The 25,783-nt window shown below is 36.7% G+C and overlaps 1 long non-coding RNA gene across 1 annotated transcript in view, besides 2 other annotated features; it reads right to left on the bottom strand.

The window, feature by feature from the left end:
• Positions 1–25,783, bottom strand: part of DISC1FP1 (DISC1 fusion partner 1) — a 663,821-nt gene that overhangs the window by 499,069 nt on the left and 138,969 nt on the right. The gene's annotated exons all lie outside the window — the stretch shown is intronic.
• Positions 9,557–10,135: an enhancer, noted in NCBI's record as "H3K27ac-H3K4me1 hESC enhancer chr11:90139017-90139595 (GRCh37/hg19 assembly coordinates)". NCBI's record gives its function as "activates a minimal SCP1, AML or CMV promoter by ChIP-STARR-seq in primed H9 embryonic stem cells {active_cell/tissue: H9 hESC(primed)}" and the evidence as "EXISTENCE:reporter gene assay evidence [ECO:0000049][PMID:30033119]".
• Positions 10,136–10,716: an enhancer, noted in NCBI's record as "OCT4-NANOG-H3K27ac-H3K4me1 hESC enhancer chr11:90138436-90139016 (GRCh37/hg19 assembly coordinates)". NCBI's record gives its function as "activates a minimal SCP1, AML or CMV promoter by ChIP-STARR-seq in primed H9 embryonic stem cells {active_cell/tissue: H9 hESC(primed)}" and the evidence as "EXISTENCE:reporter gene assay evidence [ECO:0000049][PMID:30033119]".

Here is a 25,783-nt window from a genome sequence, read left to right as displayed (position 1 = left end):
GATTCATAACCTGTCATCTTTGCCATATTTTATTGGTTAAAAACAAGCCACAGATTCTGCCCACACTTAAGCAGAGAGGATTATACGAAGGTATGAACATCAAAATGTGAATATCATAAGGGCCACCTTAAAGTTTGTTCAAAATGGTTGTCATCACTGATTTATAACCCTGTTTTCTCAATTAGGCTGTGAGAAAGTGAAGGGCAAGGAACATGGCTTACCTGACTTTGTGTCCCCAGTAAACAGCACTCTGTGTTCGGTATATGAGATACTTAAACTTTGATTCACTGACTAAAGTGTTACTTCTGATACAAATTATTTTATATTTTGTTAAAGAAATATGATAAATTCATTATAAAATCACTTCCTAAAGTAACGACATTTTCATTGTAATTCTCATAGCCATATTCAAAATAGATGTGAACAAATTTGTATATTTAATAGAAAATTAAACAAGCTTAAGTATTTTGAACCAATGAATGAACAGAGTATCTGTGCCTTATAAAGATACAGTTAATTTACCTACACACATTTGGAAAAATGCGTTTTGAGAGAAGGGGGTCATCTTAATTTTAAATATTTCTTGTTGCCACAATGAAACATATTGAAGCTATACAAAGTGAAAAGCAATTAACTTTTCATAAAAATACTCAAAAATGGTAGGATCTAAAAATAAATGAATATAAATTTGTGATTATAAAGTATCATAGATAATACCCTTTTCTCTTATTCTTTGATTATCACTATGATGTATTGTTTGGGATTTTTAGAAATGCAATAATTAGTGTGATGCATGAATCAAGAGAACAAAAACACTATGCATTTTTATTGACTATTTAAAGTAAAACAGAAATTATGGATGTATTAGAAGAGATTAGTGACCTACAGAATATCAGGTGCCATAGCAAATTAACTAACAGACTTGGTTTGTATTACAAAACTGTTAAAGTAAATTCATATACTTGGGAATGCAGAAATATAAATTGTGCTCCGAGGCTGTCCTGTATACTCCAGAGAAAGAAACCTTGTTTTGCAGAATCCCGTTCTAATAAATTGGCTAATTAAAAGTAGTGTTGATGGATTTCAAATGCTTTTATCTACACTTCAGGCAAAAATGACACATTTTAAAAGAACAGAGCCTACATTATTAATTTGCATTTATAGTATAATAAAGAAGTTCAAGATTGGAATGTAAGTACAATGAAATGATGTCAGTAGTGTAGACTTAGTCAACACAAGTAATTAATTTCCTTAATTTGTCATTAAAATTTGCACAATGGTAGCTATGAGGTCAGCTGACATAGCTCTACTGCCAGGCAGCAGAACTAAATGTACCTTGGCTCCAGGGATTTCATTTACAGCTTTTAGACTACCTAAAAAAAGTTCACAGAGCTCTTGTTCCACTTATTTCTGTGTTGGCTAAAAGAATATATGTCACGAGGAACCGTTTGTTCAAAGTCCCCCCAGTCCATTCACAAGAGACCTGCTAAATTGAGCACTCAATACTGGGCTCTCCAAAGATGAAAAAAATAATAGTTCATTTGTGTATTGTGGACAAAACAAATAAAGCATAGCCTTATTGTACTCTTACTTAGAATATGCCCTTGGGCTTAGCACATGTTGCTTCCAGAAGTGGGCATTCTTCAGAATAAATGTAGATGGTAAGAATGCAGTATTAGTGACTGCTTCTGAACAATCTGTACTTTGAGTGCTGCTGGGGCCACACTTAAAATGGCCTTCTTTTAAGGTCTTGTTTCTTTTTTAAAAAGTACAGGGTGAGGGGAGAGGGGAGGGATAGCATTAGGAGATATACCTAATGTAAATGAGGAGTTAATGGGTGCAGCACACCAACATGGCACATGTATACATATGTAACAAACCTGCACGTTGTGCACATGTACCCTAAAACTGAAAGTATAATAAAAAAAGTATGGATTATAAAACACATACAAAATATTTTACCAAGCAAAAATATATAGAACATGTAATTGTCACAAATTGAATGTCCACATACCTACCAATCTTGGACAAGAAATGGAGATTTACCATCACTCCAGATAACTCCCTCATCTTCTATCCCAATCACTACTTGTTGTATCCCCCCGAGGTTATGACTGTCCCATCTTTTATGGTAAATCACTCTCTTGATTGTTCTGATAGCAGTACATTGATGTAAAGATTTTTCCCCATATAATCACAGGAGTTTTGTCTTTCGCATTTATATATAACATTTCCCTAAAATTAGTTCATTTATACATATGATTTTTAATATATGCTATGAGGCGGGAGTCAATTGGCAAACAATATTCTTTTCTTACTGTTTTGCAGTGCCACCTGTGTCATAAATTACATGAATGTGCCTGTTCTTGGTCTCTTTATTTTAATTCTACCAGTTTGTCTCTTTTGCCAATACCACACTCTCATATGTCTTGATATGTAGTACAATGAGTTTAACTACTTCAAACTTTGATGGTATCTTGTATTTTAATTAAGATAGCATGTAATTTATGAATAGTTTTAATAAAATAGACATCTTTACAATATTGAGTCTTCTAGTTGATGAATTAATATTCTCATCCACTTATATAGGTTTTCCTTTTATATTTTTAGGAACATTGTATAGTTTTCTGCCTAGAGATCTTTTCCATTTTTGATTGATTTTTCCAGTAACTCTTAGCTTGAGTTCCTACAGAAGCAGAACTTGAGACAAAGATTTTAAGTCTAAGAAATTTATTTGGGAGGAGATCTCTAGAAACATTAGTAGGGAACTAAAAGTGAGATGGGTTAAAAAAAAAAAAGAAGTCAATAAAAGGTATAATCAAGTAGGTTACAATTGTGGAAAACTGGGGCTTAATCTTTCTGAAACACAATATGAAATATTTCTCAGTTATCCCACTTGATGAGACAGAAAGCTACAGTGTTTGTCCTCCAGTTATCTGCTTGTGTCACTGATGGAGGGCCCTTTCCCAGATTATATATTCTCTTTAAGTTATTGCTTTCCTTGTACATCAGTCAATCTTGCTCTTGAAAACCATCCCCTCCCCGCCAAAAAAAATCCTTCAGGAAAGAGTTTCAGGTGATCATAGTATAACACCATCAGAGTGTAGAAGTGAGTACTCAGAAAATATGGAAAGGCCACAGACATTGCAAAAATCAAACTCTCACTCCTCACAGTCTCATTCCTCCTATTAGGGCTTGATGACCCCTAGCATCATGTGATTGGTCAAGTCAAATGACGCAAGTGTTAAGGCCACTTGTATTATAATTCACACCAATTGTAAAGCTCACTAAGCCACACTCAAAATTGGCATCTTTCTGGGTAACCTGATAAGTGCGATACAGAGATATTACATGCTGTCTCCAAAATCCAAAGAGATCAAGACTCTTTGGTGGGAGGTTCAGTGTTCAATATGTGTCATTTACCTTGAAGGAGATGTCTTGCCATGCCCTTGACTAACAGACACCCAACAGCTTTAGCAATGAGCAAGCCCTCTGAGTTTCTATAGGGTTTATTTCCCACTCTGGCACACAGGTGTTTACCAGTGAATCTAGAATAGTTGCAATTTCCTGCCCACTAAATCCTTTTAACTTGATGTTATCACCATAGTATATAGTGGGCCAGATGGTCAAGTCCTACAGAGCATGTTGCCACGCAGAGGTGGAGAGTTAACATAGCCCTGGAGCAAGATGATGACTAGTGTCATACAATTATTGCCAGTTGAATATGAGCTGTTTCCAATCCTCTTTCTTTTTCCTTTTTAATTGAAAGATAAAATCATATGTATTTATCATGTACAACATGATGTTTTGAAGTATATTTACATTGTAAAATGGTTAAGTCTGATTAACAAATCCATTACCTCACATTTTTGTGGTGAGAAGACTTAACATCTATTCTCTTTGCATTTGACCCTCTTTCTTGATAGAAATTGTAAATAGAGCATTTGGCAGATAAATACCCACATACCAAATGCTACAGTCTATTCTAATCTATTCTTGATGAGATACCATATTCAGCCCTGTGATTAAAGCCATCACTTGGTTAAGTTTACAGCAACACATTACTATTCACCATCATCTATCTTATTTTTGCAAGACCTAGCCTGGTGAATTAAGCAAAAGTATGATGTAGACCACAACTGAATCTTTTTTGTTTTTGAGGATGGAAGTGACATCTGCCATTTTACCAAAGTTGCTATGTGTCTTCTGATTTACAGCCTTGACTTGGGAGTGAGGGAGGGTGCAGTTTCAGAGCTCCTACTTGTTTTCCTACCACTATGATTCTTCCTACACAGTTCAAGGAGTTCATATGAGTGCTCCATCAAGTGACAAATAACTACAATCGCAAATTTGCAATGGGGGACCAAGAAAATGATCATAGGGGTAGAGATGCAGAACCACTAACCCTACTCAAACTGGATGACCATGATGTTGTGTTGGAATTTCAGTTACCCACGTCACCTTAGCCTTTGTATCCAATAGCTTTCTAAGGATCTGAGTATTCTCTTTTCCTCAGGATACAGACACTCTGGTAAATAGTTATAGTCACTTCAGGGAATAATTAGAGGAACTGCTTTTTTCAAGGGTGTCCGCCTTCCCTTTCAACTCATGCATCCTGCATCTTAGAAATAGCTTAAATTTGGAAACAAGGCAAAGGATCATAATTTTTTATTATAGTGGCTGGCATCATTCTTCTACTCATCTCTAATTATTTTTGGATGTATACTCCAACTAATACCCTTATTGAACTCCTATTTATCTCACCCTTGGAAATACCGTCATCTTCTAACCATTAGCACAGAACCCTGTGAGTCAAGACCCCATGCATGCCATTCTGGCCTTGCTGCAAATGTTTACCTTGCTTCTCACAATTTAGTGCCACAATTCTAAGATCTTTTCACTGGTGACTTTTGCTATGGTCTGAATGTTGGTGTCTCCCCAGTATTCATGTGTTAAAACTTGATCCCCAATGCAATATGATTAAAAGGTGGGGCCTTTGGGAAGTGATTGTTTTATGAGAGCTTCAGTCTCATGAATTGAATTAATTGCCATATAAAAGAGGTTGATTGAAGTATCCCAGCCTCTTACTCCTTTTCCCCTATATGAGGACACATTTTCTCCTTCCACCATGTGAAAACACAGACAAGTTTCCATCTATAAAGAACAGGCTCTCATCAGAAACTGAATCTGCTGGTACCTTGATCTGGGACTTCCCAGCCTCCAGAACTGAGAGAAATACATTTCTGTTGTTTATAAATTACCCAGTCTAAGGTATTTTTTGTTATAGCAACTTAAATGGACTAAGACAACTGCATAGCAGCAAGCCTACTGATAATACTGGTCTACAGGGTATAGCTACCATAAAGCTTCCCAACGATACCTCTACTACCACACTAGGGGATTTCTTATCGCTGTAGTGAAAGAATATCTTATGAGAATATAGTCACCTGGTGAGTTCTCTGGCCATACATAATAAATCAGGTAAGGACTTTGTATATTCTCTAATCAAGAAACATCTGCTTTTCTTTAGCAATGGGCTGCTATCCTGTCATAAAGGGAAGCAGGTAATGTATAATCCCAGATCATTCAATGGAATGTAGGGATTCAAAGTTATCAAGAATACCCACAGAAATATTCCCACTCTATCTCAGAGTGTGTCTTCTTTCCTAATTAGCACAACAGTCTTGCTAAGAGTTAATTTAAACTTGTATGTATCTTCATTACTCTCAAAATCAGATTTTCAGCATTCACTATAGTCTGCCCTCCACTTGCAGGACACAAGGCTCTTCTAAATGATGCCCTAAAGGCCTCAAGAATGTATCCTAAATTAATAAATTCATTGTCCTAATTTCATAATTTTATTTCCTCAGTGTTCAATGTCAGTTAACAACAACCAATCAACTCCCCAATCTTTATAATTATTATTGTTCTGGCCAGGTGCAGTGGCTCACGCCTGTAATCCCAGCACTTTGGGAGGCCGAGTCAGGTGGATCACTCGAGGTCAGGAATTCAAGACCATCCTGGTCAATATGGGAAGACCCCGTCGCTACTAAAAATACAAAAGTTAGCTGGGCGTGGTGGCTGTAATCCCAGCTACTTGGGAGGCTGAGGCATGAGAATTACTTGAACCCAGAAGACGGAGGTTGCAGTGAGCTGATAACGTGCCACTGCACTCCAGCCTGGGCAACAGAGTGAGACTGTGCCTGAAAATAATAATAATAATAACTATTATTATTCCATATCTGTCAAATGCTAGTAATAGCGCATAAACCAGTATATTCCCTCTCACCTATATGCCATCCCAATTTGATCCTATAGTATGCCAAAAATTATTTTTTACCCCATTCACCATCAACAACGAGTACTTGTACTTACCACACTAACACATTACCAAAATTCTATAATCTATATAGATGATCTGCATATGCTACCATTGTTACTAATTGTCTTACTTTGGTTCCCCCAGAAGAAGACCCCAGAGCAAAGAATCAAGTGCAAGAATTTATTTTGGGAAGATATCCCAGAAATCTGCCAAGAGTCTAGGGAATTAAGACAAGGAAGGAAGCAAATAAAGGATACATTATCAAGCAAGTTACCACTATGGGCAACTAGGACTTAATTCCACTAGTGAACTATGGAAGGTAATGAAAAAAGATACCTCACACTTATCTTAACCAAGGGTCAAACAATCTAGAGTATTTGTCTACCACATATACAAATCCGTCATTAATGAGGGCATTTTCCAGAACTATTACCTTGCAGGCACTTTTGACTTTCCTTCCAGATGGCCCATAGTGCCCCTGAAGTCAGACAGAGGTCCTCAGTGAAGGAACTACAGGTGTTCCCAGTAAGTACCCATCAGAGCATAGAAGGGGATGCCCTGGTTTAGGCTGGAATGCTAACAGAGTGTGATATATTAGGTAAAAAAATTTTTTTTAACTTTTTATTTTGAAACAACCTTGTATCTAAAGATTTTTTAAAAATAATAAGTTTTATATATACTTCACTCACTTTCTCCACATGTAGTGACAATGTTAAACATTCTATTACATTTGCTTTGGAGGAAGGGCATTCTCTTATATAACTAATGAAAAATTATTAAGTCAATACAGTGTTATTGATACAAAACAATTATATAGTCTATAGATCATATTCAAATTTTGGCAATTATCACTCTCATTTTCTTTATAGCAAAAATAAAAATCCAATTAAAATAGCTTTTATTTATTATAGCTCCTTTAAACTGAAAATGTCCTTTAGTCTTTGTCTTTCATGAACACGATATTTTTGAAGCGTATATACACTTAATTCATATAATGACACCCAATTTTGGTGTGTCTGTTGTTTCACATGATCAGATTTACCTAACGCAGTTTCAGCAGGAATGTCAACCATAGAAGTGATGCTGGATCCTCACTGCAACATATCAGGAGGCACACGGTATCTATTCGTCTCATGGCTGGTAGTGCTAACTTTGATCACTTTGTCCTGGTGGTATCTGCCAAGCTTCCCCATTGGAAGAGTATTATTTTTCTATTTTAATTAATATGCATCTTGTTGGAGGTGCTTTGGAAACTACATAAATATACCGTTTCTTATCAAATTTTCACTTTCTAGTTTTAGCAGCCACTTGTCAGTGATTACAATTGTGGTTGCCAAATGGTGCCTTTTTAAATCCCATTACTTCTGCAAATTAATAATTGGCATCCCACCATAAAAGATTTCCTTTCTCTACATATAATTTATTCATTTATTTTTATCAGTGTGTACTCATAAATTTTAATGTCAATCTATAAGTTATAATTCACTAATATAATTATTTATTTTGATGCTCAAATTGACCCAGATTTGCTCCATAGTAGTCCTTCCAAACTGGCTTCTCTGCTTGCCCCCATATTTTTTTTTAACACTTCCTTACATTTTTGGTAGAGCAGGATGTTCTAGGTTTATTATGCACTCTCCCAGGTCCAGCTGTGGAATCAGCCATATTTTAAATGGGCCTGGATACCTGATAGTGGAGGATGTGACTCAGAATTCAAAATCTAGTGTTTTCTATCTTTATCTAAATATCTATCTATCTATCTATCTATCTATCTATCATCTATATATCTATCATTCTATCTGTTTAAGCATGAGTTTATACTAATACCTCAAATTTCAATCACATATTGCAAGGTTCATTCAAGTATTCCCCCTTTCCATCTTTGCAATTCCCTACTTGACATTGAAAAATCTGGCTCCCACTATCCAAAAATATTTTCTCATTTGCTCAATCTTGGAATACTCATTGAACTCCAGAAGTGCTAACCCATACCTTATGAAAAAAGAAACCTACTCATAAGTTTAAATGGTTTATAGTTTGACTAATCTTTAGCTTAATGGTATATCATTAACATAATAGTTCTAGTCACTTGAGGAAGTTCTTGCCTTCATCCTTTACAGGGGTGACTAAATTATACCCTTGAAATACATTCTGATTCATTTGTTTCTCTTTGCAATGTTGATTTCATATTTTTAAAGGCATAAATTGGCTTAGTCAAAACTGTACAGAAATTTCACTCAGAGAAGTGAGTGATCCTCCCTTTCCTGTTCCTCCAGCCTTTCACCTCATTTCCACATACCTCCATTAGTTTTAGATTTATCGTTCCTGTGTTTCTTTTTGCACAAATGAATAAATATGTGTATATTTCCTCATTCTTCCTGTTTTCTTATATTTTCTTTTTTCACTTAATAATTTATCCTGAAAATCACTCTGTTTCAATCATTATTTTTTCTTACTGTTTCATTTTCATTGCGGTTTTTTTAACCTTGGGTTTTAGCAGTTTATTACAATTTCAAAATACTGGGGATTTTGAATTATGTTTTAGTTTTCTTTTTAATAATTGATTTCTGGCTTAATTACATGCTCTCAGATTCTTTATTCTAAATTTTTATAACCACTTAAAATATAAAAATTATTTGCGGGCTGTACAAAAACAAGCCATGGGCTGAATTTAGTTTCCTCATCCCTGCTTTACACGTATCTTTTATTTGTCAGAGTTGAATATTAATTTACCTTCCTCTTCAACAATTACATTTATCCCACTCTAACTTAGAAACTATCCTTGCTATCTGTTTTGATTCTTCATGTATTTTAAACTTGCCCTAAATACTTACTCAGTGAACAATCACTTAGACTTAATGACATATTTAACCTTTTCATTGTTTATTCCTTCCTGCATTCTGATCTTCATCTGGGATCATTTTCCTTCTTTTTAAAGAAACCACTATTGCAGTGCCACCAGTGATAAATTCTCTCAATTTCTGTTTGATACTTCATTCTTGAGAACAATTTTACTGGATATAGAATTCTACATTTGCAATTATTTTTCTTTGGCTATCTAAAAAAGATAATTCTATTGTCTTCTGGCCTCCTTGCTTTATTGAGAAGCTATTAATGTAATTGTTGCTCTTTTGAAAGTAACCTTTCCTTTTTTTGTAACTTCCTTTAAGATTTTCTTTCATATTGGTTAAATCAGTTATATTATACTGTGCCCATTTTTTTTTAAATGCTATATTTATACTTTTTTTAAAATTTTATTATTATACTTTAAGTTTTAGGGTATATATGCACAACGTGCAGGTTTGTTACATATGTATACATGTGCCATGTTGGTGTGCTGCACCCATTAACTCATCATTTAGCATTAGGTATATCTCCTAATGCTATCCCTACCCCCTCCCCCCACCCCACAACAGGCCCTGGTGTGTGATGTTCCCCTTCCTGTGTCCATGTGTTCTCATTGTTCAATATTGTTCAATTGCCTATATGGTTTTATTTTGTATTTTGAACTTTTTATATTTAGATAATTGAAATTTAAATGCATTTATTAGAAATAAAACCTAGAGGAGGAGCCAAGATGGCCGAATAGGAACAGCTCCGGTCTACAGCTCCCAGCGTGAGCGACGCAGAAGACGGGTGATTTCTGCATTTCCATCTGAGGTACCGGGTTCATCTCACTAGGGAGTGCCAGACAGTGGGCGCAGGCCAGTGTGTGTGCGCACCGTGCGCAAGCCGAAGCAGGGCGAGGCATTGCCTCACCTGGGAAGCGCAAGGGGTCAGGGAGTTCCCTTTCCCAGTCAAAGAAAGGGGTGACGGACGCACCTGGAAAATCGGGTCACTCCCACCTGAATATTGCGCTTTTCAGACCGGCTTAAGAAACGGCACACCACGAGACTATATCCCACACCTGGCTCAGAGGGTCCTACGCCCACGGAATCTCGCTGATTGCTAGCACAGCAGTCTGAGATCAAACTGCAAGGCGGCAATGAGGCTGGGGGAGGGGCACCCGCCATTGCCCAGGCTTGCTTAGGTAAACAAAGCAGCCGGGAAGCTCGAACTGGGTGGAGCCCACCACAGCTCAAGGAGGCCTGCCTGCCTCTGTAGGCTCCACCTCTGGGGGCAGGGCACAGACAAACAAAAAGACAGCAGTAACCTCTGCAGACTTAAGTGTCCCTGTCTGACAGCTTTGAAGAGAGCAGTGGTTCTCCCAGCATGCAGCTGGAGATCTGAGAACGGGCAGACTGCCTCCTCAAGTGGGTCCCTGACCCCTGACCCCCGAGCAGCCTAACTGGGAGGCACCCCCCAGCAGGGGCACACTGACACCTCACACGGCAGGGTATTCCAACAGACCTGCAGCTGAGGGTCCTGTCTGTTAGAAGGAAAACTAACAACCAGAAAGGACATCTACACCGAAAACCCATCTGTACATCACCATCATCAAAGACCAAAAGTAGATAAAACCACAAAGATGGGGAAAAAACAGAACAGAAAAACTGGAAACTCTAAAACGCAGAGCGCCTCTCCTCCTCCAAAGGAACGCAGTTCCTCACCAGCAACAGAACAAAGCTGGATGGAGAATGATTTTGACGAGCTGAGAGAAGAAGGCTTCAGACGATCAAATTACTCTGAGCTACGGGAGGACATTCAAACCAAAGGCAAAGAAGTTGAAAACTTTGAAAAAAATTTAGAAGAATGTATAACTAGAATAACCAATACAGAGAAGTGCTTAAAGGAGCTGATGGAGCTGAAAACCAAGGCTCGAGAACTACGTGAAGAATGCAGAAGCCTCAGGAGCCGATGCGATCAACTGGAAGAAAGGGTATCAGCAATGGAAGATGAAATGAATGAAATGAAGCGAGAAGGGAAGTTTAGAGAAAAAAGAATAAAAAGAAATGAGCAGAGCCTCCAAGAAATATGGGACTATGTGAAAAGACCAAATCTACGTCTGATTGGTGTACCTGAAAGTGATGTGGAGAATGGAACCAAGTTGGAAAACACTCTGCAGGATATTATCCAGGAGAACTTCCCCAATCTAGCAAGGCAGGCCAACATTCAGATTCAGGAAATACAGAGAACGCCACAAAGATACTCCTCGAGAAGAGCAACTCCAAGACACATAATTGTCAGATTCACCAAAGTTGAAATGAAGGAAAAAATGTTAAGGGCAGCCAGAGAGAAAGGTCGGGTTACCCTCAAAGGAAAGCCCATCAGACTAACAGCGGATCTCTCAGCAGAAACCCTACAAGCCAGAAGAGAGTGGGGGCCAATATTCATCATTCTTAAAGAAAAGAATTTTCAACCCAGAATTTCATATCCAGCCAAACTAAGCTTCATAAGTGAAGGAGAAATAAAATACTTTATAGACAAGCAAATGCTGAGAGATTTTGTCACCACCAGGCCTGCCCTAAAAGAGCTCCTGAAGGAAGCGCTAAACATGGAAAGGAACAACCGGTACCAGCCGCTGCAAAATCATGCCAAAATGTAAAGACCATTGAGACTAGGAAGAAACTGCATCAACTAATGAGCAAAATCACCAGCTAACATCATAATGACAGGATCAAATTCACACATAACAATATTAACTTTAAATATACATGGACTAAATTCTGCAATTAAAAGACACAGACTGGCAAGTTGGATAAAGACTCAAGACTCATCAGTGTGCTGTATTCAGGAAACCCATCTCACGTGCAGAGACACACATAGGCTCAAAATAAAAGGATGGAGGAAGATCTACCAAGCAAATGGAAAACAAAAAAAGGCAGGGGTTGCAATCCTAGTCTCTGATAAAACAGACTTTAAACCAACAAAGATCAAAAGAGACAAAGAAGGCCATTACATAATGGTAAAGGGATCAATTCAACAAGAGGAGCTAACTATCCTAAATATTTATGCACCCAATACAGGAGCACCCAGATTCATAAAGCAAATCCTGAGTGACCTACAAAGAGACTTAGACTCCCACACATTAATAATGGGAGACTTTAACACCCCACTGTCAACATTAGACAGATCAACGAGACAGAAAGTCAACAAGGATACCCAGGAATTGAACTCAGCTCTGCACCAAGCAGACCTAATAGACATCTACAGAACTCTCCACCCCAAATCAACAGAATATACATTTTTTTCAGCACCACACCACACCTATTCCAAAATTGACCACATAGTTGGAAGTAAAGCTCTCCTCAGCAAATGTAAAAGAACAGAAATTATAACAAACTATCTCTCAGACCACAGTGCAATCAAACTAGAACTCAGGATTAAGAATCTCACTCAAAGCCGCTCAACTACATGGAAACTGATCAACCTGCTCCTGAATGACTACTGGGTACGTAACGAAATGAAGGCAGAAATAAAGATGTTCTTTGAAACCAACGAGAACAAAGACACCACATACCAGAATCTCTGGGACGCATTCAAAGCAGTGTGTAGAGGGAAATTTATAGCACTAAATGCCTACAAGAGAAAGCAGGAAAGATCCAAAATTGACACCCTAACATCACAATTAAAAGAACTAGAAAAGCAAGAGCAAACACATTCAAAAGCTAGCAGAAGGCAAGAAATAACTAAAATCAGAGCAGAACTGAAGGAAATAGAGACACAAAAAACCCTTCAAAAAATCAATGAATCCAGGAGCTGGTTTTTTGAAAGGATCAACAAAATTGATAGACCGCTAGCAAGACTAATAAAGAAAAAAAGAGAGAAGAATCAAATAGACACAATAAAAAATGATAAAGGGGATATCACCACCGATCCCACAGAAATACAAACTACCATCAGAGAATACTACAAACACCTCTACGCAAATAAACTAGAAAATCTAGAAGAAATGGATACATTCCTCGACACATACACTCTCCCAAGACTAAACCAGGAAGAAGTTGAATCTCTGAATAGACCAATAACAGGCTCTGAAATTGTGGCAATAATCAATAGTTTACCAACCAAAAAGAGTCCAGGACCAGATGGATTCACAGCCGAATTCTACAAGAGGTACAAGGAGGAACTGGTACCATTCCTTCTGAAACTATTCCAATCAATAGAAAAAGAGGGAATCCTCCCTAACTCATTTTATGAGGCCAGCATCATTCTGATACCAAAGTCGGGCAGAGACACAACCAAAAAAGAGAATTTCAGACCAATATCCTTGATGAACATTGATGCAAAAATCCTCAATAAAATACTGGCAAACCGAATCCAGCAGCACATCAAAAAGCTTATCCACCATAATCAAGTGGGCTTCATCCCTGGGATGCAAGGCTGGTTCAATATACGCAAATCAATAAATGTAATCCAGCATATAAACAGAGCCAAAGACAAAAACCACATGATTATCTCAATAGATGCAGAAAAAGCCTTTGACAAAATTCAGCAACCCTTCATGCTAAAAACTCTCAATAAATTAGGTATTGATGGGACGTATTTCAAAATAATAAGAGCTATCTATGACAAACCCACAGCCAATATCATACTGAATGGGCAAAAACTGGAAGCATTCCCTTTGAAAACTGGCACAAGACAGGGATGCCCTCTCTCACCGCTCCTATTCAACACAGTGTTGGAAGTTCTGGCCAGGGCAATCAGGCAGGAGAAGGAAATAAAGGGTATTCAATTAGGAAAAGAGGAAGTCAAATTGTCCCTGTTTGCAGACGACATGATTGTTTATCTAGAAAACCCCATCGTCTCAGCCCAAAATCTCCTTAAGCTGATAAGCAACTTCAGCAAAGTCTCAGGATACAAAATCAATGTACAAAAATCACAAGCATTCTTATACACCAACAACAGACAAACAGAGAGCCAAATCATGAGTGAATTCCCATTCACAATTGTTTCAAAGAGAATAAAATACCTAGGAATCCAACTTACAAGGGATGTGAAGGACCTCTTCAAGGAGAACTACAAACCACTGCTCAAGGAAATAAAAGAGGACACAAACAAATGGAAGAACATTCCATGCTCATGGGTAGGAAGAATCAATATCGTGAAAATGGCCATACTGCCCAAGGTAATTTACAGATTCAATGCCATCCCCATCAAGCTACCAATGACTTTCTTCACAGAATTGGAAAAAACTACTTTAAAGTTCATATGGAACCAAAAAAGAGCCCGCATCGCCAAGTCAATCCTAAGCCAAAAGAACAAAGCTGGAGGCATCACACTACCTGACTTCAAACTATACTACAAGGCTACAGTAACCAAAACAGCATGGTACTGGTACCAAAACAGAGATATAGATCAATGGAACAGAACAGAGCCCTCAGAAATAATGCCGCATATCTACAACTATCTGATCTTTGACAAACCTGAGAAAAACAAGCAATGGGGAAAGGATTCCCTATTTAATAAATGGTGCTGGGAAAACTGGCTAGCCATATGTAGAAAGCTGAAACTGGATCCCTTCCTTACACCTTATACAAAAATCAATTCAAGATGGATTAAAGATTTAAACGTTAGACCTAAAACCATAAAAACCCTAGAAGAAAACCTAGGCATTACCATTCAGGACATAGGCATGGGCAAGGACTTCATGTCCAAAACACCAAAAGCAATGGCAACAAAAGCCAAAATTGACAAATGGGATCTAATTAAACTAAAGAGCTTCTGCACAGCAAAAGAAACTACCATCAGAGTGAACAGGCAACCTACAGAATGGGAGAAAATTTTCGCAACCTACTCATCTGACAAAGGGCTAATATCCAGAATCTACAATGAACTCAAACAAATTTACAAGAAAAAAACAAACAACCCCATCAAAAAGTGGGCGAAGGACATGAACAGACACTTCTCAAAAGAAGACATTTATGCAGCCAAAAAACACATGAAGAAATGCTCATCATCACTGGCCATCAGAGAAATGCAAATCAGAACCACTATGAGATATCATCTCACACCAGTTAGAATGGCAATCATTAAAAAGTCAGGAAACAACAGGTGCTGGAGAGGATGTGGAGAAATAGGAACACTTTTACACTGTTGGTGGGACTGTAAACTAGTTCAACCATTGTGGAAGTCAGTGTGGCGATTCCTCAGGGATCTAGAACTAGAAATACCATTTGACCCAGCCATCCCATTAATGGGTATATACCCAAAGGACTATAAATCATGCTGCTATAAAGACACATGCACACGTATGTTTATTGCGGCACTATTCACAATAGCAAAGACTTGGAACCAACCCAAATGTCCAACAATGATAGACTGGATTAAGAAAATGTGGCACATATACACCATGGAATACTATGCAGCCATAAAAAATGATGAGTTCATGTCCTTTGTAGGGACATGGATGAAATTGGAAACCATCATTCTCAGTAAACTATCGCAAGAACAAAAAACCAAACACCGCATATTCTCACTCATAGGTGGGAATTGAACAATGAGATCACATGGACACAGGAAGGGGAATATCACACTCTGGGGACTGTGGTGGGATCGGGGGAGGGGGGAGGGATAGCATTGGGAGATATACCTAATGCTAGATGACACGTTAGTGGGTGCAGCGCACCAGCATGGCACATGTATACATATGTAACTAACCCGCACAATGTGCACATGTACCCTAAAACTTAGAGTATAATAATAAAAAAAAAAATTTAAAAAAAAAAAAAAAAAGAAAATTAAAAAGTAAAAAAAAAAAAAAAAAAAAGAAAAGAAATAAAACCTAGAGATCCACACATCCTTCACCCAGTATCCCCCAATGTAACACCTTGTATTATGGAACAATAAGATGACCAGGGAATTGACATAGATACAATATATCCTCCTTATTAAGAGCTCACCAGTTTTATATGCCCTTATGTGTGTATGTGGGTATATTTATTTCTACCCAATTTTATTATGTGTAACCACTGCCACAGTCAAACTACAGGACAGATCCATGACCACAAGGGTCCCTCTTGCTGCCCTTAGAATGACTGGACTCACTTTCTCTCACCCCCACCCCTCCACTTCCAGTGGCAATCACTAATCTATTTTAATAGTTTATCATTTTGAAATTGTTACGTAAGTAGAATCATACAGTATGTAGTTTTTAAATACATATTTTTAATTAAAAAATTGAAAATTACATACTATATGATTTTCTCATTCATGGTAACTCCATGGATATTCATCTAAGTTGTAAAAGTCTATTTTTATTCAACTTTATTGCTAAGTAGTTTTCTATAGTAAATATGTACCCACCCACCTCCTAAAGGACATATGCGGAGTTTCCATTTTGGGGCTATTACAAATAAAGCTGCTATGAACATTCTTGTATAGGATTTTGTGTAACTATATGTTTTCATTTCTCTGGTATAAATGACCAAGAGTATAACTGCTGAGTCATATGGTAACTTTGACAAAATTCAACAGCCCTTCATGCTAAAAACTCTCAATAAATTAGGTATTGATGGGATGTATCTCAAAATAATAAGAGCTATTTATGACAAACCCACAGTCAATATCATACTGAATGGGCAAAAACTGGAAGCATTCCCTTTGAAAACTGGCACAAGACAGGGATGACCTCTCTCACCATAGTGTTGGAAGTTCTGGCCAGGGCAATCAGGCAGAAGAAAGAAAGAGTATTCAATTAGGAAAAGAAGAAGTCAAATTTTCCCTGTTTGCAGATGACATGATTGTATATTTAGAAAACCCCATCGTCTCAGCCCAAAATCTCCTTAAGCTGATAAGCAACTTCAGCAAAGTCTTAGGATACAAAATGAATGTGCAAAAATCACAAGCATTCTTATACACCAATAACACACAAACAGAGTAGCCAAATCATGAGTGCACTCCCATTCACAATTGCTTCAAAGAGAATAAAATACCTAGGAATCCAACTTACAAGGGATGTGAAGGACCTCTTCAAGGAGAACTACAAACCACTGCTCAACGAAATAAAAGAGGACACAAACAAATGGAAGAACATTCCATGCTCATGGATAGGAAGAATCAATATCATGAAAATGGCCATACTGCCCAAGGTAATTTATAGATTCAATGCCTTCCCCATCAAGCTACCAATGACTTTCTTCACAGAATTGGAAAAAACTACTTTAAAGTTCATATGGAACCAAAAAAGAGCCTCCATGGCCAAGTCCATCCTAAGCCAAAAGAACAAAGCTGGAGACATCACGCTACCTGACTTCAAACTATCCTACAAGGCTACAGTAACCAAAACAGCATGGTACTGGTACTAAAACAGAGATATAGACCAATGGAACAGAACAGAGCCCTCAGAAATAATACCACACATCTACAACCATCCGATCTTTGACAAACATGGCAAAAACAAGAAATGGGGAAAGGATTCCCTATTTAATAAGTGGTGTTGGGAAAACTGGCTAGCCGTAAGTAGAAAGCTGAAACTGGATCCCATACACCTTATACAAAAATTAATTCAAGATGGATTAAAGACTTAAATGTTCTAATATTTAAGTTTTAAGACACTGACAAATTATTTTTTAGGGTGACTGTGCTATTTTACATTCCCACCAGCCATGTAATACAGTTTCTTTACATCATTGTTAGCACTTGGTATTGTCATTCTTTTTAATTTTAGCCATACTGCTAAGTACATACTGACATCTCCTTGCATATTTAAATTGCATTTCCTTAATGGTTATTGGTGTTAAACATGTTTATTGGCCACTTCATTCTTCTTCAGTAAAATGACGGTTCATGTTTTTGGCCCATTTTCTAATTGGTTATTTGGTGTTTTTGCTGTTGAGTTTTGAGAGTTCTTTATATATTCTAGATACCAATATGTTGTCAAATATATTCTCCCAGTTTATAACTTGTCTTCTAATCCTCTTAACAGGGTCTTTTGCAAAGTAAAAGTTTTTAAATTTGATGAGGTCTAATTTAACAATTTTTATTTATGGGTCATATTTTTGGTACCAAGACTAACAACTCTTTGCCTATTCCTAAAAGACCATTCAAATTCTACCTTTTTAGTTGTGACGTTCACCTTCAGAGCCTAATGATGCTATGTAAGAAGTTCAGCTATCCTGAGGCCCAGATGCTTCATGGAAGTCCTGACAACATTTAGATATTTTAAATGACAGTTCTACAGTGAAGTCTAAGCTGACAGCCAGCATCAACCACCAAACTTGTGAGTGAACAAGTCTTCAGATGATTTCAGACTCCAGACAGCAAGTTACCCCTATCCCAACTGAAGTCTAAGACATCGTGGAAAAGAGATAAGCCATCCCCCTCCACTGCCCATTCCAAATTTCGGACTCACAAAATCCATGAACATAATAAATGCTATAACGTTTTGGTTTGTTGTATGGAAATAATAACGGAAACAGTGATCATCTGCAAGATGGGCTCCACTGTAGTATTTTTCTTCCAATTCTGTCATTAGAAACACAGCAAGAGCTGCTCTTCTCAGTTCTGTCCCCACTGAGTTTGTAATTTCAGAAGGAATGGGAATAATCTATCTAATTGATGTAGTTGACACCTAAGATTAACTCATAAGAGACTATCTTAATACTATTAGCTCAACAACAATAACAACAATAGAAACTAAACTTTTTTCAATAATCAGAAATTGCTGATGACTAGAAAGTAGTTATTTTGCCTTTTTATTTCATTGATACATAATATTTTCCATATTTATGAGGTACATGCAATATTTTGTTCCATGCATAGACTGTGTGATAATTAAGTGAGGGTATTTGAAAGCTAAAAATGTTATTTTTGCTTTCTCATCACCCACTTGTGGTAGTCATCTTCCGATGTCAGCAATTAACAATAGAACTTTAACAAATCTCCTTCTTATTCAGTTTTATTCCTTATCTGTTTACCCTGTGGGTTTAAGCAATTTATGCAGTTTTAATATCAATTTTCACATATATAAAAAAGAATAATAATGTTTACCTCTAAATATGTTGGGGGATTTAATTAAGGACATGTAAATGAAAGAGCCTATTATATTATCTAAGCATATTAAAAGTGCTAAAAAGTATGCTAATCGAATCTAAATTTAAAATAAATAAGGCAGTATCTGTATGATTAAAAAATTCCTAATTTGATTAATGTTATCAGCCACATCAATTATTTTTCTTTCTAATAAATCTATTAATTATTTATTTTGATATTTTAAGTAGTTGCATAAGATTTTTAGATCACATAGCACCAATAGCAAGAAAGTAGTCACTATCTGAGGAATATTATAAAGGAAGGTAATGAAAGTTGTTGTCCACAAACTTGCAGGTGCTAAATTGCTGTGCTTACTATTTACAGGCAAGAAACATTAATTGTGCTTTGTAATTTTGATATAACACTCACCTGCTGCTAAATCTATGTTAGACAATTAATTAAACAATTAAACAATTTAATTTACTTAATTGATACATATTTTACATATTTATGGTGTACATGCGATATTTTGTTACATGCATAGAATGTGTGATAATCAAGTCAGGGTATCTGAAAGCTAAAAATGTTATTTTTGCTTTCTCATCACCCACTTGCAGTATTCATCTTCCAATGTCAGCAATTAACAATAGATCTTTAACAAATCCCTTCCTTATTCAGTTTTATTCCTTAACTGTTTACCCTTGAGGGTTTAAAACTTAAAATAGCAAGAAATACTTTATGTATTTCCAACTCTAAGGAAAACATTTTAGTAAAAACCATTATTTAAATTGTCATATTCTATGGGAGATAGGACTAAGAATCTCAAAAATTACATTTAATGATGCAATTGGCATTGCTTGAGAATTAAACATATCTAGATTAGCAGGTAGGAAGAAAAGGCCTAAAGGGAGTGAGATGGAGTGCAAAGGGATAAAAAATAAAGTTGGGCCTTGCTTAGAATGAATGGCAAATTTAAAGCTATCCTAAAAGCCTATAAAGATTTATTATAGAGAAAATGGTGCCCAGCTGTTCTCCATCCCTAAAGAGATAACACCACAGGAAACTGGTTTAAATTGCATTAGGAGGATTGTGGTTCCATATAGGAAAAGTTAGATTGAGAGTGGAGAGAGATGCATGGTTGCTAAGGGGAATGTGGTCACCTCCACTCTGAGGAAGGGTCTGTATCTAAAAAACCCATGATCTCTCTGAATTTACAAAAACCCTCTCTTGGGTCTTCTCAGAGTATACACATGAAGGGTGGTCTACTAAATAAATACTTTCTTGATAAAAGATATGCCAAAACCACCTCCAGTGGAAGAAAGAATTTCCTGAGAGGATTAAGCACTAGATTGGGGAATTTTAAAGTTTTGGTATCCCTTTCACGGTGCATTTTTAAGAAAGAAAGATTTTTTTCTGCCTGAAATGATTTACTCAACCCTCCTTAGAGAAACACCAGTCATTGTGTCAAGGACAGTCTTCTTGATAAATTTTATGCAGAAATTTTTGTCATTTTACATAGGGAAAAACTAAGGCTCAATGACTTGGCAATATTCCAACAGCATATATGTAGTGGTGCCATTACTCAAATTCCAGAAATTGAGCCATCCAGGGTTAAAACATGTTCAGCAAAGCCACACTGTGAATGAAATTCTGGGCTTACTTTTGGTTACAGACAGAAGCTTGCTATCAATCAACACAGAACAATCAATTGAGCTATATCAAAGAACCTGACTTCACTAATAATCCAGTCTATTCTCTCAGAAGTCAGTGTACTGACTCTGGTATATTAAACTTGGTATATTAATCCTGATCTCTGGTATACTAAGCATCATCCATTTTTTAACGTATTCAACAAATATTTATGGAGCCCTTATTATGTGCCAGGACCTCTTCTAGTGCTGTGAAGAAAGCAGAAAACAAGGCAGATATGGTTATTGTCCTCAAAGACCTTACATTCTAGAGAGTTTAAATAGATAATAAAAAGTAATAATAATGACTTTCAACATTTACTGGGCACATTATATGTCCCAAACATTGTATAAATAATATAATCTTCATAGTAACTCAATAAGTTAGTTAAGATCATTATATACATAACAGAGAAGGAAAATGGAACACAGAGAGGTTAAATAACTTGTTCTAGACAAGACAAGTAAAAATTGGCAAAACCAGTCTGCTTGGGTGCCGAGTTCATGCTTTTAACGATTATCTCATAGCAAAAATTCTGATTAATTTTGAGTGGTAAGTTTGCAAAAACTTCAACTGTCACTTTTATCTCCATATAAATGGAAAGAAATAAAAAGACAGGACAAAAAAGGAAAGAAAGAAAATCAGTACATTGGAAGGGTAGAAGGTGAGAGTCATATTAATTTTCAAATGTTTTGTTAAAAATGCCTCTGATAAGTTGATATGCAAGCGGAGGAATGAAAGACAAGGAAAGCTAGCCATGGGGAAACCTTTCTGAAAAGCATTCAAGACAGGAGCAGAAAACGCCAAGGATATGAGGTAAGAGCAACCTGGTTACCTCCAGATTGAACTAAAAAAGCCAGTTGCTGAAGTAGTGATGGGAGAGAATTATATGAAATGACATCAAAGAAAATGCCAATGGCCAAATCACGTTTATTCACTTCTAAAATGCCTTTCTCATCTCTCCTGTTTCAATAGTGCCAAACAAATGCCAAGCAAAATTCTTACTTATTCCAAAATATGTTCCCAACCAATACTGTTCTGGTAATACTCTCCATTCTAAACAACTGTAGCATTTACTATAATAAATTAACAGCTGACATTTATTACCGATTTACTATATTCTGCTGTTCTAAGCATTTGCTTAACCCATTTACTCCATAACAACTGAAGCAGATTCTATTATTATCCTGACAGCTGGAAACATTGAAACAAAGTAGTTCAGTAATTTGTCACAAAATTTTCTGGTTAATAAGTAGAGGAGCTGAAATGCAAACCCAGGTGATTTAGTTCAAGATCTCAGACTCAATCTCTACATTATGGCATCTTGGATTATCTTGAATGGATCACTTATTGGACATGAAGTTATGAAACTGTATATACTATTTAGCTATCTTTTGTGTAGAGATTGTCTCCAAATACATTGTCTATTTCTCAAAGGCAGACACGTAGTCATATACTTTATCATCATGATTCTCATAGTGACATAAAAATAATGGAATATTTAGAATATATATTATATATACATGACTATCTTGCAGTGTGTTTATGTATTTATATTTTTAACAAATAATTTGTTTATAATGGTAATTCATAAAACATTTATCTAACTTGGTAGATACTTCTCCACACAACAAAATATTTCTCATTCTTCAATGATTGCTTCAGATATTTACTGCTCTAATAAAAATCATTATCGGATTTTGTCTGATTGCTCTGGCTAGGACTTCCAGTTCTATGTTGAATAGAAGTGGTGAGAGTGGGCATCCTTGTCTTGTTTGAGTTCTCAGGTCTAATGCTTTCAAATTTCCCTGTTCAGTATTATGTTGGCTGTTGGTTTTGTCATAGATGGCTTTTATTACATTAAGGTATGCCCCTTGTATGCTGATTTTGCTGAGGGTTTTAAGCATAAAGGGATGCTGAATTTTTGTCAAAAGCTTTTTCTGCATCTATTGAGATGATCATGTAATTTTTGTTTTTAATTCTGTTTATGTCATGTATCACATTTATTGACTTGTGTATGTTAAACCATCCTTGCATCCCTGGCATAAAACCCACTGGATCATGGTGGATTATCTTTTTGATATGGTATGGATTTGGTTAGCTAGTATTTTCTTAAGGATTTTTGCATCTATATTCATCAGGGATATTGGTCTGTAGTTTTCTATTTTGTCATGTCCTTTACGGTTTTGGTATTAGGCTAATATTATCTTCATAGAACAATTTAGGGAGGATTCTCTCTTTCTCCACCTTGTGGAATAGTGTCAGTATGACTGGTACCAATTCTTCTTTGCATGTCTGATAAAATTTAGCTGTGAATTCATTTGATCCTGGACTCTTTTTGTTGGCATTTTTTTTATTACCATTTCAATCTCACTGCTTATTTTTGGTCTACTCAGAGTTTCTATTTCATCCTCATTTAAACTAAGAGGGTTGTATATTTCCAGGAATTTACCCATCTCTGCTAGATTTTCTAGTTTATGCATGTAAAGGTGTTCATAGTAACCCTGAATGATCTTTTGTATTTCTGAGGTATCCCAGTTGCAATATCTTCCATTTCATTTCTAATTGAGCTTATTTGGATCTGCTCTCTTCTTTCCTTGGTTAATCGTGCTAATTGTCTATCAATTTTATTTATCTTTCCAAAGAATCAAGCTTTTTGTTTCATTTATCTTTTGTACTATTTGTTTCAATTTCATTTAGTTCTGCTCTGATCTTTGTTACTGCTTTTCTTCTGCTGGGTTTGGGTTTGGTTTGTTCTTGTTTCTCTAATTACTTGAGGACTGACCTTAGATTGTCTATTTGTGCTGTTTCTGACTCTTCGATGTAGGCATTTAATGCTATAAGCTTTCGTCTTAGAACCACTTTTTTTCTGTATTCAGGAGGTTTTGATAGGTTGTGTCACTATTATCATTCAGTTCAATTCTCAATTTCACAATATAGCCACTGTGGGGGATGAAGATGTGGCTCTCAGGCCAATGCAGTTATGTTCAGGGGGGATTATGGCTGCCTCTGCTGCATCATAGAGGTCGCCAGGGAAGTGGGGAAAAGTCAGCAGTGACTAGCCTCACCCAGCTCCTACCTAGCCAGAAAGGCCAGTCTTACTCCCACTGTGCCCCACCAGCAGCACCGAGTTCATATCCAGGTAGCGAGTGAGCAGGGCTGAGATCTTGCCCCAGGATACAGGCCTCCCTGCTGAGGAAGCAAGCCGGACTTTCAGGATTTGCCCCACTCTGCCTGCCATGGCTTCTGTGCTTCCTATTCACCAGCAACCCCCCGCCCCCACCCTCCCTGACCCTCGCATTCTGCCCAGGAAAATTTGTTTTAGGTCAAAATTAATTACAGAAGTTCAGCTTGAAGTTTCGTTTTCCCTGTGTTCATTCCCTAATTCCACTGGCAGCCCTCCTCAAAGACCCCTGAGAGATAAAGTCAGAAATGGCTTTTCTGGGCTTCCCTGGGGGTCGGGAGTGCCTACAGGGCTCTTCCCACTGTTTCTTCTACTTTTACATTTCGCTCAGCTCTTGAAATTCATTTCAGCCTAGGTAAGGTTAAATCCTTTTCCTATGATCTGAAATTTAGGTTCCCCAGTGAGAATGTGTGTTCAGAGGTGGACTTTCCCACTCTCACACTTTGAGCACTCATTTTTTCAGCTGTGTCATGGAGTTTGCAGTGGCATACCACTTCTTTCAAAAAGTCTGTGAATTATTTTGGTTTTGCTGGTATGTTCCTGCAGTAGTTCTTGGAGGAAAAGTTCACAATGTGAGTTTCCACACATTGTTCTGTTAGTCCAAGTGGGAGCTGAAAGTTAGTCTTGCCTCCTATCTGCCATTTTCCCAGCAAATACCAGATGATACATTTAATCAGAACTTATTAGAAAAAAAGAACATAAGTTTTTTATATTCATGGGATAATCAATACTAAATAAAAATAAATGTTTTCAATAAAAGTAAATATATGTTTGGATGCTCCAGTGGTGCAATCAGTTAGTGCATGGTATGTATTTGGTAATATGTGTGTGAGAAAATATATGTTTCAGCATATATGTGTTAACTTTAGAAACTAAAGCTCAATCAGAAATAATATTATGGGCAAGCACAGTCGTTTGTTTCCTTGTGTGCTTTTGTTTTCTACTGGTTAAAATTTAAGTGACATAAGTGATCATTTATTTAATATCTTCTGTTTTATTTTATTTCATTTTATAGTACATAGAGTATCTGTCAGTATTTTAGAAAGTATTTGTAATTATTTGGTTAGCCTGTTTTTCTCACTAGCCCAGGAAATTCTAGAAGGCAGGGGCTATATTTACTCTGTTAGTTACTGTCCCCACACCAGGAATGGATACACAGTATACTTCATAAATTTTTGGTGACCAGGTAAATTAGATACCATGCAGTAAAGAAAGAGAAACAAAAAGATGCTCATATCACATTAATTCACACTAAAGTTTGATAACCTATTTATCTCTTTCACTGTACTAAGGTTTCCCCAAAGGCATGAATAATTTGTGTTCATATTTGTCCCAGAATGTATCACTATGAATAATATGTAGGTACTCAATAAATATATATTAAAGTAAATTGAACTGCATGGAAAACAGTGTGGTTGAATAGGAAATGACTGATGCAGAAAGGGCAATACAACCCAGCTTGCTGGGTAGATAATGGAAGTGAAGGAAACAAAAGCCAAAGATAATACAGGTTTCTAAGGACATGTTATCCTATCTCAAGAAGTTAACACTTTTGAGACACTGTACATCCAAGCATAAGATATTTTTTTGTCAACACAAGGCACCAAAATAGTTATGACAGGAAAATAGATATTATGTGATGTTATGACAGAAAGACCTTCATGAAGAGGAAAAGCTTTAGGAATTTATTAAGTTAGCTATAGTAAGTAATGAGGATGCCTATAGTTACAGTAATT

Source organism: Homo sapiens, chromosome 11 (assembly GCF_000001405.40).
Source record: "Homo sapiens chromosome 11, GRCh38.p14 Primary Assembly".
In the NCBI taxonomy this organism is placed as follows: Eukaryota; Metazoa; Chordata; class Mammalia; order Primates; family Hominidae; genus Homo; species Homo sapiens.
The sequence above is the reverse complement of the archived record's forward strand: the minus strand, read 5'-3'. Positions and strand labels throughout refer to the sequence as shown.